Source organism: Homo sapiens, chromosome 3 (genome assembly GCF_000001405.40).
Source record: "Homo sapiens chromosome 3, GRCh38.p14 Primary Assembly".
Lineage (NCBI taxonomy): Eukaryota > Metazoa > Chordata > Mammalia > Primates > Hominidae > Homo > Homo sapiens.
In genome coordinates, this window is record NC_000003.12 from 57479733 (window position 1) to 57494247 (window position 14515).

Sequence of the window (14515 nt, forward strand, 5' to 3'; positions counted from 1 at the left end):
AGTGCAATCAAACTAGAACTCAGGATTAAGAAACTCACTCAAAACCACTCAACTACATGGAAACTGAAAAACCTGCTCCTGCATGACTACTGGTACATAACGAAATGAAGGCAGAAATAAAGATGTTCTTTGAAACCAACGAGAACAAAGACACAACATACCAGAATCTCTGGGATACAGTCAAAGCAGTGTGTAGAGGGAAATTTATAGCACTAAATGCCCACAAGAGAAAGCAGGAAAGGTCCAAAATTGACACCCTAACATCACAATTAAAAGAACTAGAGAAGCAAGAGCAAACACATTCAAAAGCTAGCAGAAGGCAAGAAACAACTAAGATCAGAGCAGAACTGAAGGAAATAGAGACATAAAAAACCCTTCAAAAAATCAATGAATCCAGGAGCTGGTTTTTTGAAAAGATCAACAAAATTGATAGACCGCTAGCAAGACTAATAAAGAAGAAAAGAGAGAAGAATCAAATAGATGCAATAAAAAATGATAAAGGGGATGTCACCACCGATCCCACAGAAATACAGACTACCATCAGAGAATACTATAAACACCTCTACGCAAATAAACTAGAAAATCTAGAAGAAATGGATAAATTCCTCGACACATACACCCTCCCAAGACCAAACCAGGAAGAAGTTGAATCTCTGAATAGACCAATAACAGGCTCTGAAATTGAGGCAATAATTAATAGCTTACCAACCAAAAAAAGTCCAGGACCAGATGGATTCACAGCCGAATTCTACCAGAGGTACAAGGAGGAGCTGGTACCATTCCTTCTGAAACTATTCCAATCAATAGAAAAAGAGGGAATCCTCCCTAACTCATTTTATGAGGCCAGCATCATCCTGATACCAAAGCCGGGAAGAGACACAACAAAAGAAGAATTTTAGACCAATATCCCTGATGAACGTCGATGCAAAAATCCTCACTAAAATACTGGCAAACTGAATCCAGCAGCACATCAAAAAGCTTATCCACCATGATCAAGTGGGTTTCATCCCTAGGATGCAAGGCTGGTTCAACATACGCAAATCAATAAATGTCATCCAGCATATAAACAGAACCAAAGACAAAAACCATATGATTATCTCAATAGATGCGGAAAAGGCCTTTGACAAAATTCAACAGTGCTTCATGCTAAAAACTCTCAATAAATTAGGTATTGATGGGACGTATCTCAAAATAATAAGAGCTATCTATGACAAACCCACAGCCAATATCATACTGAATGGGCAAAAACTGGAAGCATTCCCTTTGAAAACTGGCACAAGACAGGGATGCCCTCTTTCACCACTCCTATTCAACAAAGTGTTAGAAGTTCTGGCCAGGGCAATCAGGCAGGAGAAGGAAATAAAGGGTATTCAGTTAGGAAAAGAGGAAGTCAAATTGTCCCTGTTTGCAGATGACATGATTGTATATCTAGAAAACCCCATTGTCTCAGCCCAAAATCTCCTTAAGCTGATAGGTAACTTCAGCAAAGTCTCAGAATACAAAATCAATGTGCAAAAATCACAAGCATTCTTATACACCAATAACAGACAAACAGAGAGCCAAATCACGAGTGAACTCCCATTCACAATTGCTTCAAAGAGAATAAAACACCTAGGAATCCAACTTACAAGGGACATGAAGGACCTCTTCAAGGAGAACTACAAACCACTGCTCAACAAAATAAAAGAGGATACAAACAAATGGAAGAACATTCCATGCTCATGGGTAGGAAGAATCAATATCGTGAAAATGGCCATACTGCCCAAGGTAATTTATAGATTCAATGCCATCCCCATCAAGCTACCAATGACTTTCTTCACAGAATTGGAAAAAACTACTTTGAAGTTCATATGGAACCAAAAAAGAGCCTGCATTGCCAAGTCAATTCTAAGCCAAAAGAACAAAGCTGGAGGCATCACGCTACCTGACTTCAAACTGTACTACAAGGCTACAGTAACCAAAACAGCATGGTACTGGTACCAAAACAGAGATATAGACCAATGGAACAGAACAGAGGCCTCAGAAATAATGCCGCATATCTACAACCATCTGATCTTTGACAAACCTGAGAAAAACAAGCAATGGGGAAAGGATTCCCTATTTAATAAATGGTGCTGGGAAAACTGGCTAGCCATATGTAGCAAGCTGAAACTGGATCCCTTCCTTACACCTCATACAAAAACTAATTCAAGATGGATTAAAGACTTAAATGTTAGACCTAAAACCATAAAAACCCTAGAAGAAAACCTAGGCAATACCATTCAGGACATAGGCATGGGCAAGGACTTCAAGCCTAAAACACCAAAAGCAATGGCAACAAAAGCCAAAATTGACAAATGGGATCTAATTAAACTAAAGAGCTTCTGCACAGCAAAAGAAACTACCATCAGAGTGAACAGGCAACCTACAGAATGGCAGAAAATTTTTGCAATCTACCCATCTGACAAAGGGCTAATATCCAGAATCTACAATGAACTCAAACAAATTTACAAGAAAAAAACAAACAACCCCATCAAAAAGTGGGCAAAGGACATGAACAGACACTTCTCAAAAGAAGACATTTTTGCAGCCAAAAGACACATGAAAAAATGCTCATCATCACTGGCCATCAAAGAAATGCAAATCAAAACCACAATGAGATACCATCTCACACCAGTTAGAATGGCGATCATTAAAAAGTCAGGAAACAACAGGTGCTGGAGAGGATGTGGAGAAATAGGAGCACTTTTACACTGTTGGTGGGACTGTAAACTAGTTCAACCATTGTGGAATTCAGTGTGGCGATTCCTCAGGGATCTAGAACTAGAAATACCATTTGACCCAGCCATCCCATTACTGGGTATATACCCAAAGGATTATAAATCATGTTGCTATAAAGACACATGCACACGTATGTTTATTGCAGCACTATTCACAACAGCAAAGACTTGGAACCAACCCAAATGTCCAACAATGATAGACTGGATTAAGAAAATGTGGCACATATACACCATGGAATACTATGCAGCCATAAAAAAGGATGAGTTAATGTCCTTTGTAGGGACATGGATGCAGCTGGAAACCATCATTCTCAGCAAACTATTGCAAGGACAAAAAACTAAACACCGCATGTTCTCACTCATAGGTGGGAATTGAACAATGAGAACACATGGACACAGGAAGGGGAACATCACACACCGGGGACTGTTGTGGGGTGGGGGGAGGGGGGAGGGATAGCATTAGGAGATATACCTATGTTAAATGACGAGTTAATGGGTGCAGCACACCAACATGACACATGTATACATATGTAACTAACTTGCACGTTGTGCACATGTACCCTAAAACTTAAAGTATAATAATAAAAAAACAAAGCTGTGCAACATTGAAAAAAAAAAAAAAAAGAAATTCCAAGCTAAAATTACTGTAAAAATCAACTGGAAACCTCTAGAAGAGGACAGGGGAGAAGGAGAGGCATGGCGATCAGAAAGTTATATGCAGAGTCCTGGGGTGCTGACAATATCCTATTTCTTGGCCTAGGTGGTGGCAATATAACCGCTCAATTTACAGCTATTTGTGTAACTATATATTTTATACATCTTCACCATGAAAATAATATTTCACAATGAAAACAAACCAAAATATGCAAATTAAAATTCCTTACCTGGATCCTTAAAATCAACTCTTCGATTCCTACAGTCCGGGCTTTTTCTACATAAGATATCAGATCCATCATCTCTTCTGTTGTTTCAGGGACTTTTAATGCATGTTCTTTAATTGCTTCAAATTCACTGCAAATACTGACATAATACTCTGCTTTAATAGACTTATGGCAATTAATGTTATATCATATTCAATAAATGTGTGTTATGACGATTACTATAAAATAAGAACTATGATATCCTAAAAAAATTGCTTGATTCACTAAGGTATCTTAAAAATATTTAAGCTTGGCCAGGCACAGTGGCTCACACCTGTAATCATAGCACTTTGAAAGGCCAAGGCAGGCAGATCACTTGAGCTCAGGAGTTCAAAACCAGCCTGTGCAAAGTGGTGAAACCCTGTCTCTACAAAAAAAAAAAATACAAAAATTAGCTGGGCATGGTGGCACATGCCTGTAGTCCCAGCTACTTGGGAAGCTGAGGCAGGAGGATCACTTGAGCTTGGGAGGTTGAGCTACAGTGGGCCATGATTGCACCGTTGCACTCCAGTCTGGGTGACAGAGTGAGACCCTGTCTCAAAAAAAAAAAAAAAAAAAAAGCTTATCTGCTATAATTCAGTATATACTATACATCAACAAAACCTACAAAATTAAGGTAATATTTACATGCAAAATTATGGCATATTAGAAAAAAATTTTAGCGACCTCTTCAACTCTCTTAAATACCCAGGTAACACTCATCTTTCTGGATTGTTGTAATACAACAATGAATGCAAAGGGTCTAGCACATAGTACACTCTATTTACTGATAACTATAATCATTAGTATAATTATTAGTTTTATTATTATTAGTGCCTCTTGTGAAACATGACAGTACAGCAAGTAAACAGATCAAACCCTCAAACTCTTATACATAGTTTCTTTAATTAACAGTTCTCTTAGAATATCCCATGTAGGATATGAACCTAGATATCCTACAGCATTATTCAACTAAAGTTACATTTCATGGAATTTTTTCCTGTGCTTTAAAATATCTGGGCCAAACTAATCTTTGATAAAGCATACAAAAACATAAATTGGGGAAAGGACACCCTATTCAATAAATAGTGCTGGGAAACCTGAACAGCCACAGGATCTCCATCTCTCACCTTATACAAAAATCTCCTCAAGACGGATCAAAGACTTAAATCCGAGACCTGAAACCATAAAAATTCTAGAAAATAACATCAGAAAAAAGCTTCTGGACATTGGCTTAGGCAAAGAATCCATGACTAAGACCTCAAAAGCAAACACAACAAAAACAAAAATAAATAAATGGGACCTAATTAAACCAAAAAGCTTCTGCACAGCAAAAGAAATAATCAGCAGGGTAAACAGACAAGCCACAGAGTGGGAGAAAATATTTGCAAACTCTGCCTCCAACAAAAGACTAGTATCCAGAATCTACAATGAACTCAATCAAATCAGCAAGGAAAAAACAAATAATCTCATCAAAAAGTAGGCAAAGGACATGAATAGGCATTTCTTAAAAGAAGACAGCCAAAAAAACCTATGAAAAAATGCTCAACATAACTAATCATCAGGGAAATGCAAATTAAAACCACAATGAGATACCACCTCACTCCTACAGGAATGGCCATAATTTAAAAGTCAAAAAACAATAGATGTTGGCATGGATGTGGTGAAAAGGGAACACTTAAACTGCTTGTGAGAATGTAAATTAGTACAACCACTATGGAAAACAGTATTGAGGTTCCTTAAAGAACTAAAAATAGAACTACCATTCAATCAAGCAATCCCACTACTAGGTATCTACCCAAAGGAAAAGAAGTCATGAAAAAGACATCTGCACAAGCATGTTTATTAGCAGCACAGTTCACAATTGCAAAGATATGGAACCAACCTAAGTGCCCATCGACCAATGAGTGGATAAAGAAAATGTGGTATATAGACACCACGGAATACTACTTAGCCATAAAAAGGAATGAAATAATGTCCTTTGCTGTAACTTGGATGGAGCTGGAGGCCATTATTCTTTTTTTTTTTTCTTTTCTGAGACAGAGTCTCACTCTGTTGCCCAGGCTAGAGTGTAGTGGTGCAATACACCACAACCTTCACCTCCAGGTTCAAGCCATTCTCCTGCCTCAGCCTCCCGAGTAGCTGGGATTACAGGCGCGTGCCACCACGTCTGGCTAATTTTTGTATTTTGAGTAGAGATGGGGTTTCACATGTTGGCCAGGCTGGTCTTGAACTCCTGACCTCGTGATCCACCTGCTTCAGCCTCCCAAAGTGCTGGAATTACAGGCATGAGCCACCGCACCCGGCTGGAGGCCATTATTCTAAGTGAAGTAACTCAGGAATGGAAAACCAAATATCGTATATTCTCACTTATAAGTGGGAGCTAGGCTATGAGGATGCAAAAGAGTAATATAATGGACTTCGGGGACTCGGTGTGGGGAAGGCTGAGAGGCAGGTGAGGGGTAAAAGACTACATATTGGTACAGTGTACACTACTTGAGTGATGGGTACACTAAAATCTCAGAAATCACCGCTAAATAACTTAACTGCTAGGCGTGGTGGCTCATGCCTGTAATCTCAGCACTTTGGGAGGTCCAGGAGGGTAGATCACTTGAGGTCAGAAGTTCAAGACCAGCCTGACCAACATGATGAAACCCCATCTCTACTAAAAATACAAAATTAGCCAGGCATGGTGGCACATGCCTGCAGCCCCAGCTACCTGGGGGGCTGAGGAGATTCCAGGAGAATAGCTTGAACCTGGGAGGCAGAGGTTGCAGTGAGACTCCATCTCAAAAAAAAAAAAAAGAATTTACCCATGTAACAAAACCACTTATACCCCCCAAAACTATTGAAATTTTAAAAATTAAAATTAATTTTTTCTTTTAAAAAAATATCTAGCCCAGGCACAGAGGCTCACGCTTGTAAACCCAGTACTTTGGGAGGCTGAGGTAGGAGGATCTCTTGAGCCCAGGAGGTTGAAATCAGCCTACGCAACATGGCAAAACCATGTCTCTATTAAATTTTTTTTAATTTTAAGTAAGAAATAGAAATCGGTATTGTCATTCTATTACTAGAAATATCAGGAAAAAACCATGTAAAAACAAAGTGTAAAAGAGGTAAATGATTTTTTAGTTCATGCAGGAATTTGGAGAAATATGTGGGAAATTATACTTGCTCATTCACTCATTTAATAAATAGCTGAGTACCTACAATATGCTAAGGAAAATTCTAAATATAGCAGCAAATGAGACCCTGCCCTCATAAAGCTTGTATTGAAGCTGAGGAAAGAGACAAAAGCACACAAATATGTACACTGTTAGGTAGCAAAAAAAATGCTGAGGATCCCTTGAGCCCAGGAGTTCGAGGTGGAAGTGAGCTATAATTGTGCTACTGCACTTCGGTCCGGGCAACATAGTAGGACCCTGTCTCTAAAGGAGAAAAAAAAGCTATGAAGAAAAATAAAGCAACATAAAAGGAAAAAGAATGATGGAGTGTCAAGAAGAAGCCACTATTTTATACAGAGGGGCCAGAGAAGGCCTTTCTAGGGAGGTAATATTCAAGGTGAGGGGAAAAAACAAATGAGTTGTTCAAATACCAGGAAAAGAGATTCCAGGAAGAAAAACCAGCAAGGACAACGGCCATAAAGTGGTAATAAGCTTGGCATACTTTAGGAATGGCAAACGAAGTTGAAGTGGTGAGCAGGAATCAGATCATGTAGGACTTTACAGTTAATTATTGAATATCAGAAATACAGGAGGAATGTGGCCAGGCACAGTGGCCCACACCTGTAATCCCAACACTTTGGGAGGCTGAGGAGGGAGGATCACTTGAGTCCAGGAGTTTGAGACCAGCCTAGGCAACATGGCAAGACCTTGTCTCTAATAGAAAAGAAGGAAGAAAGGAAGGAAGGAAGGAAGGGAGAGAGAGAGAGAAAGGGAGGGAGGGAGGGAGGGAGAGAGAGAGAGAAAGAAAGAGAAAGAAAGAAAAAAAAAAAGAAAGAGAAAGAAAGAAAGAAAAAAAAGAAAAAGAAAGAAAAAAAAGAAAGAGCAAGCATTAATGTGGATAATGCAAAAAGACAGATAATCCTCCTGGGGATCATCTTGCTAGTGCAGAATCTGAGTCCTTTGGGCAGAGATACTTCAGCAAAAGAAAAGGAGGCAAACAAAATGATGAGAGCAAGATGGCCCAAGCAGATGCTAAACCAAACGGTGAAGTAAGCAAATTGCTCTTCAGTGACCTTGTACTTAACCTAGGGGCACACATTTCCTCCTTTTGATGTTATCTAAAGTACAGAATTGAAACAGGAGGAATCAAAGAATAAACTAGGTGAAGGAAACTGGATAAATTTTCAGCTGCTTTTATATCATAGCTTTATAATAAGATAATTATTTTGTGAAAAGTATGGAATTTTCCAGAAAAATCACAGATACTACAAAAATAAATACAAAAAAATTATGTTAAACATAAACTTATAAAGTGTTTTTTTTTTGTTTTTTGTTTTTTGGTTTTTTTTAACTAACTATGGCATTGTCATTGTTGTTACTCATCAGGATGGTTACAACTCTCAAGAAAGGGAAAGGTTCTAATACTTTACCCTCTTTGATATCTTCTCGTGTAGTATACTTTTATACAGAATATGCCTGATAAATTTGACTTCTGACTGTCATATATTTGCTTATTCAATTTAAGATATTTATTGGGCTCCTATTCTATGCCAAGCAAGGCACTAGATATTTTACAAATGTTATCTGTGATCCTAATATTAGTCCTGCGAGGAAGGTACTCTTTTTCTTTTTGTTTTTGTTTGTTTGTTTGTTTTTGAGATGGAGTCTCGCACTGTAGCCCGGGCTGGAGTGCAGTGGTGCCATCTCGGCTCACTGCAACCTCCACTTCCCGGGTTCAAGCGATTCTCCTGCCTCAACCTCCTGAGTAGCTGGGGTTACAGGCACCTGCCACCACACCCAGCTAATTTTTTGTATTTTTAGTAGAGACGGGGTTTCACCATGTTGGCCAGGCTGGTCTCGAACTCCTGACCTCGTGATTCGCCCTCCTCGGCCTCCCAAAGTGCTGGGATTACAGGCATGAGCCACCGTGCCTGCCTGGAAGGTACTATTTTTCATAGTTGACACAGTAGAAAACTGAGGCTCAGGAAAATTAAGTAGGTTGCCCAGAGTTATGGAACTAGTTAATGGCAATCAGTATTCAAATTCATGTCTTTCTGATTCCAAAGCATGCAATTTTTTCACTTTGCTTCCGGGAAAATAAACATAATAGTTAACATTTATTGAGTACCATGTGCCAGGCAGTGTGCTAGGTGCTATACATACATTAGTTTTCATCTTTACAGAAGTTACAAGCTTTTTTGGGGACACACAGATAACAAATGAGTTCAATAAATTGGATGATGAATTGGTTGAGCACTGGGTGAACAAACCACAGGACATATTCCCTCTCTAAAAGGCAAAGTTGCTTCTTAGCTCCATTTACCACAGCAGGCCCGATGTGGCATGGTCTTCCCACTTTTTCAAGAAAGGTAAGAAATCCAAAGTGTGTGTGTGTGTGTGTGTGTGCACGTGCGTGTGTGTACTAATTTTAAAATGATGGTAGCAAGTCCAAAATCTGTTTAAACAAAATAAAACACAGTGTGAAACAAGCAAAACACATCTACATGACACACTCAAGTAGCAGGCCACTAGTTTATGAATCCAATTTTATAGCCACCCTGAAAAGTAGGTATTACTGTCTCCATTTTACAGATGAGAAAAATAAGCTCGGTGATACAATAAGTAAATATTGAGGTCAGGGATGATCCCAGATCTGCCCAATATCACCAAAAGTCTACAATCTTATCATTATCATGTAACCTGTACCTGAATCTGGTTTATTTCCATTTCTTTTTTAAAAAAATCCTGGGTTGCATTTAAAAAGGTATCAAACAGTATCAAACAAAAAGAATCCAGCCCAATGGGACTACAAAGGCACCTCTATAGGAGGCAGCTATGGAGAAAAAGTTGTACGTACTTACATATTTTAAGCTTTTGTTTTTAAACAAGAGTTACTTTAGCAAAATACTTCTTTTAGCCATATAATTCTGAGCTTGGGAATTAATTCTACTTACCATTCATTTTCTTTTCTATATTTTGAAGCTATGTCATTTAATAATATGTTTGCAAAGGCTTTTGCTTTATTTGTCAGGCCTGTCTTCAAATCTTCACAATCCAAACGCACCATAGTGTAATGAATCCACTGAGGCAAAAGCATTATTTCTGAGGCAAGACTGAGAAATTTTTCTATAAACTTGAAAAAAAGTGTTCAAATGAAAAAAAAAATGTTTAGAACTTTCAGTGATTTTATAATATTGTATTGTTATGAAAGTCCTAATTATATAAATACAACTTTATTTCTTTTTTGCTAAGTGACTAAAATTTTTTCCCTTGTTGCATACATATTTTTTTCACCTATTCTTTCATTAAGGAATTTGTCAATATACCAGTAAATATCCAATACGATACCATTCACAGTATCAAAATCTGAACATATCACACGGTAAAATTTCCCTCAATAATTATTTTTTAAAATTATCCCCAGAGTCAACCCATTTCTCTGTTTAGAAACAAACTTATATCATGTAACAATTTGCATAGTGGATAAATATTTGCTTTTGCCATTACTGATAGCTCATTAAAGATTCTATTTTTTTCACTTTACGTCCACATGGTCAAGGATTCTAATTCAACCTTTAGGAAAAATACATATATATAAGGAACTTATTGGTTTTTGTCAAAATACTCCAAGCCAGGCATGATGGTTTGAGCCTATAATCCCAGCTACTGTTAGGAGGCTGAGGTGGGAGGATTGCTTGAGCCCAGGAGTTTGAGGCTGCAGTCAGCTATGATGGCACCCTGCATTCCAGGCTGGGTGACAGGGTAAGACTCTATCTGTTAAAAATATAATGATAATAATCCAGGAACAGATGCTCTGCAATTACCAAGATCCAAGATATTGGAATGTATGTCAACTTCTTAGTGCCCAAACACTGGGGTAATTTTTTAAAATTAAACAAAGTAGTATCAAGAAAATCTGACAGGATATGTGATACTTGGTAAAAGTGAAACACACTTACCAACTTTGGACAAACTTTGACTTAATTTCACAATCCACCTTTAATGTTTCTATCTGCCTTCCTTCTCACTTGATCTCCACTCTCTACTGAAATGGCCTGTTCCTTTTATTCTTCCTTCAGGAGAACTTTCCTTCATGTTACTCTCTCTCAATGCTGTCCTATTTTTCTAGAGTATCTAGGATGTGGTGAATTGGGTTTAAATTTTTCAGTGTTCAAGGGGGAAGATAATAATTAATTGATTCAAAGACTATCTTAAGCACCTGCCTTGTTCTTGGTTGGAAATACACCAAATAGGCCAGGCGTGGTGGCTCACGCCTGTAATCCCAGCACTGTGGGAAGCCGAGGCGGGTGGACCACCTGAGGGCAGGAGTTCAAGACCAGCCTGGCCAACATGGTGAAACCCCGTCTCTACTAAAACTACAAAAATTAGCTGAGTGTGGTGGCACATGCCTGTAATGCCAGCTACTCAAGAGGCTGAGAATCGCTTGAACCTGAGAGGTAGAGATTGCAGTGAGCCGAGGTCACACCACTGCACTCCAGCCTGGAAGACAGAGCGAGACTCTATCTCAAAAAAAAAAAAAAAAAAAACAACAAATAAAGGGTAGACAGAACTCATGGCATTGAAAAAAGATGAATATGGATAAATTTTACCATGATGAAAGAAGAAAAACACAAAAGAATATATACAGTATGATACCTTTCATACAAACTTACCGTGGACAAAACTAAACTATATTATTTAAGTATACACACATAGGTGGTAAAACCATAAAGGAAAGCAAGAAATGTCAGGGTAATAGTTACCAATAAAGACAGAAGAAAGTTATAATTGGGGAGAGGCACGTGGTGGCTTCTGGGTTTTGCAAAGTTCTCTTTCTTAAGCTACATGGTTATTAACACCTAGGTTATAATTACCTATCGGTCTATACATATGTACTATGTATGTTATATTTCACAATTACATTAAATTTTTTCATGGAACATTTTAAACATACAAAAATAGGTAAAATGTACCCATTATCCAGTTTCAACAATTAGCAACTCATGACCAATCTTTTTTTAACTATACTCCTAACTACTCCCCTGTCCTGTTTTATTTTTACACAAATCACAAGCATCTTATAAATTCATCTGTATAAGCCAGGCATGATGGCTCATGCCTGTAAACCCCCAGCACTTTGGGAGACTGAGACAGGAGGATTGCTTGAAGCCAGGAGTTCAAGATCAGCCTGAGCAACATAGGGAAACCCCCATCTCTACAAAAAAAAATAATAATTTTTTTAAAATTAGCCAGCCAGCTTGGGCAACATGGTGAAACCCTATCTCTACAAAAAATACAAAAATTAGCCAGGTGTTGTGGCGTGTGCCTGTAGTCTCAGCTATTCAGAAGGCTGAGGTGGGAGGAACACTTGAGCCCAGAAGGCAGAGGCTGCGTTGAGCCGTGATCACACCACTGCACTATAGCCTGAGTGACTGAGACTCTGTCAAAAAAAAAAAAATTAGACGGGCATGGTGGCACATGCCTTTAATCCTTGCTACTTAGGAGGCTGAGGTGGAAGGATCACTTGAGCCCAGGAACTTGAAGCTGCATTGAGCTATGCTCACATCACTGCACTCCAGCCTGGACAACAGAGACCCTGTCTCTAAAAAAATAAATAAATAATAGGCCGGGAGTGGTGGCTCATCCCTATAATCCCAGCACTTTGGGAGGCTGGGGCGGGCAGAGCACCTGAGGTCAGGAGTTCGAGACCAGCCTGACCAACATGGAGCAACCGTGTCTCTACTAAAAATACAAAATTAGCTGGGCGTGGTGGTGCATACCTGTAATCCCAGCTACTCGGGAGGCTGAGACAGGAGAATTGCTTGAACCCAGGAAGCGGAGGTTGTGGTGAGCCGAGATTGCACCATTGCACTCCAGCCTGGGCAACAAGAGCAAAACTCCAACTCAAATAAATAAATAAATAAATAAATAATAAATAAGTTCATCTGTACAGATGTTACAGTTCATCATTCTTAAATTTCCCCCAAAATAGGCATACTAACCACAACTATAGTATATCAGAAACTGACAAAGAAATCCAGGAATATGTTACTAAATCTAAAAGTAAATTTTTAAATAGTTATATAAACTATCCCAAAATTATTACAAAATTCTAGAAAATGTCACTACAAAATAATAGACCTAAGGAAATAATCATTTTCAAAGTTAATGAAGCCGGGTGCAGTGGCTCACACCTGTAATCCCAGCATTTTGGGAGGCCGAAGCAGGTGGATCATGATCAGGAGATTGAGACCATCCTGGCCAACATGGTGAAACCCTGTCTCTACTAAAAATACAAAAATTGGCCAGGTGTAGTGGTAGGCACCTGTAGTCTCAGCTACTCAGGAGGCTGAGGCAGGAGAATTGCTTGGGCCCAGGAGGTGGAGCTTGCAGTGAGTAGGGATGGCACCACTGCACTCCAGCCTGGGCGACAGGGCGAAACTCCATCTCAAAACAAACAAACAAACAAACAAACAAACAAAACTTTAATGAAACATATACTTGGTCTTGATATTTAGGACTTATAGACACTACAGGTTATACCCAGACCACAAAAAATTTAGTTGGTAATTCATAGAACATTTATTGTGTCTATTCTCTGCATAGCACTATATTGAGATATATGGTAAAATACAAATTAAAGAGAATACAGTTGGCCCTCTGTATCCATGGGTTCCATATCTGCAGAATCAACTAACAGCAGATTGAAAATATTTGAAAAAAGCCATAAAAATAACAATAAAATAATTCAAATAAAAGACAATACAGTATAACTCTTTATATAGCATTTATATTGCATTAGGTATTAGAAGTAATCTAGAGATAGTTTAAAGTATACTGGAGGATGTGCATAAATTATATGCAAATACTATACCATTTTATATGAGACTTGAGCATCTGCAGATTTTGATATCTATACAGGGGTCCTAGAACAAATACCTGCAGCTACCAAAAGACAACTATATACCATCCCTGAATTTGTGAAAGTAATAATGCATTTATGCATTCACAAAATAGTTTCATGAACCCATAAAAACCAAATAAGGTAAAAAGTATGCATATTAGAAAAAAACACATAGTCGTCTCAATAGCTGCCAAAAAAGCATTAAACAAACTGGTGTAAAGGTAGTGAGTTATCTCATTTGATTGTTCACAGTCAATCACAGATCAAACTGCTTGTTCTACTCTTTCCCCTTTCTCATTATTGGGTACTTGACCAGTCAAAAAAAAAAAAAAAAAAAAGCATTTAACGAAACCCAACACTCTTTCATGGTAAAAACACAAACTAGGAATAGAAGATAACATCCTCAACTTTCATAAGGCATGTCTAGGAAAAACCTACAACTAATATTATACTTAATGATGAAAAAATGAACATTTCCCTCTAAGATCAAGAACAAGATAAGGGTGGTTCGTGCTTGTAATGCCAGAGCTTTGGGATGCTGAGGCAGGAGGATCACTTGCATCCAGGAGTTTGAGACCAGCCTGAGCAATATAGTGAGACCCCATCTCTACAAAAAATACTAAAATTAGCTGGGTGTGATGGCACACGCCTGTTGTTCCAGCTACTTGAGAGGCTGAGGTGGGAAGATTGCTTGAGCCAGGGAGGTCAAGGCAGCAGTGAGCAGGATTCTACCATTGCACTCCAGTCTGGATAACAGAGTGAGACCCTGTCTTAAAAACAAAACAAAAC

The 14515-nt window shown here is 38.5% G+C and overlaps 1 protein-coding gene across 9 annotated transcripts in view; it reads right to left on the reverse strand.

Annotated features, from left to right (window-relative positions):
• DNAH12 (dynein axonemal heavy chain 12) overlaps positions 1 to 14515 on the reverse strand; it is a 262335-nt gene that overhangs the window by 186033 nt on the left and 61787 nt on the right. For 8 of the 9 annotated variants that reach the window (XM_047447667.1, XM_011533468.2, XM_047447668.1 and 5 more), the window contains 2 exons: positions 9777 to 9955; positions 3644 to 3779 (listed from right to left, as the gene is read on the reverse strand). In XM_047447667.1, coding sequence (XP_047303623.1) covers positions 3644 to 3779; positions 9777 to 9955 — 315 coding nt within the window. The remainder of the gene's footprint in view (positions 1 to 3643; positions 3780 to 9776; positions 9956 to 14515) is intronic. The other variant, XM_047447669.1, reaches the window with a different exon arrangement.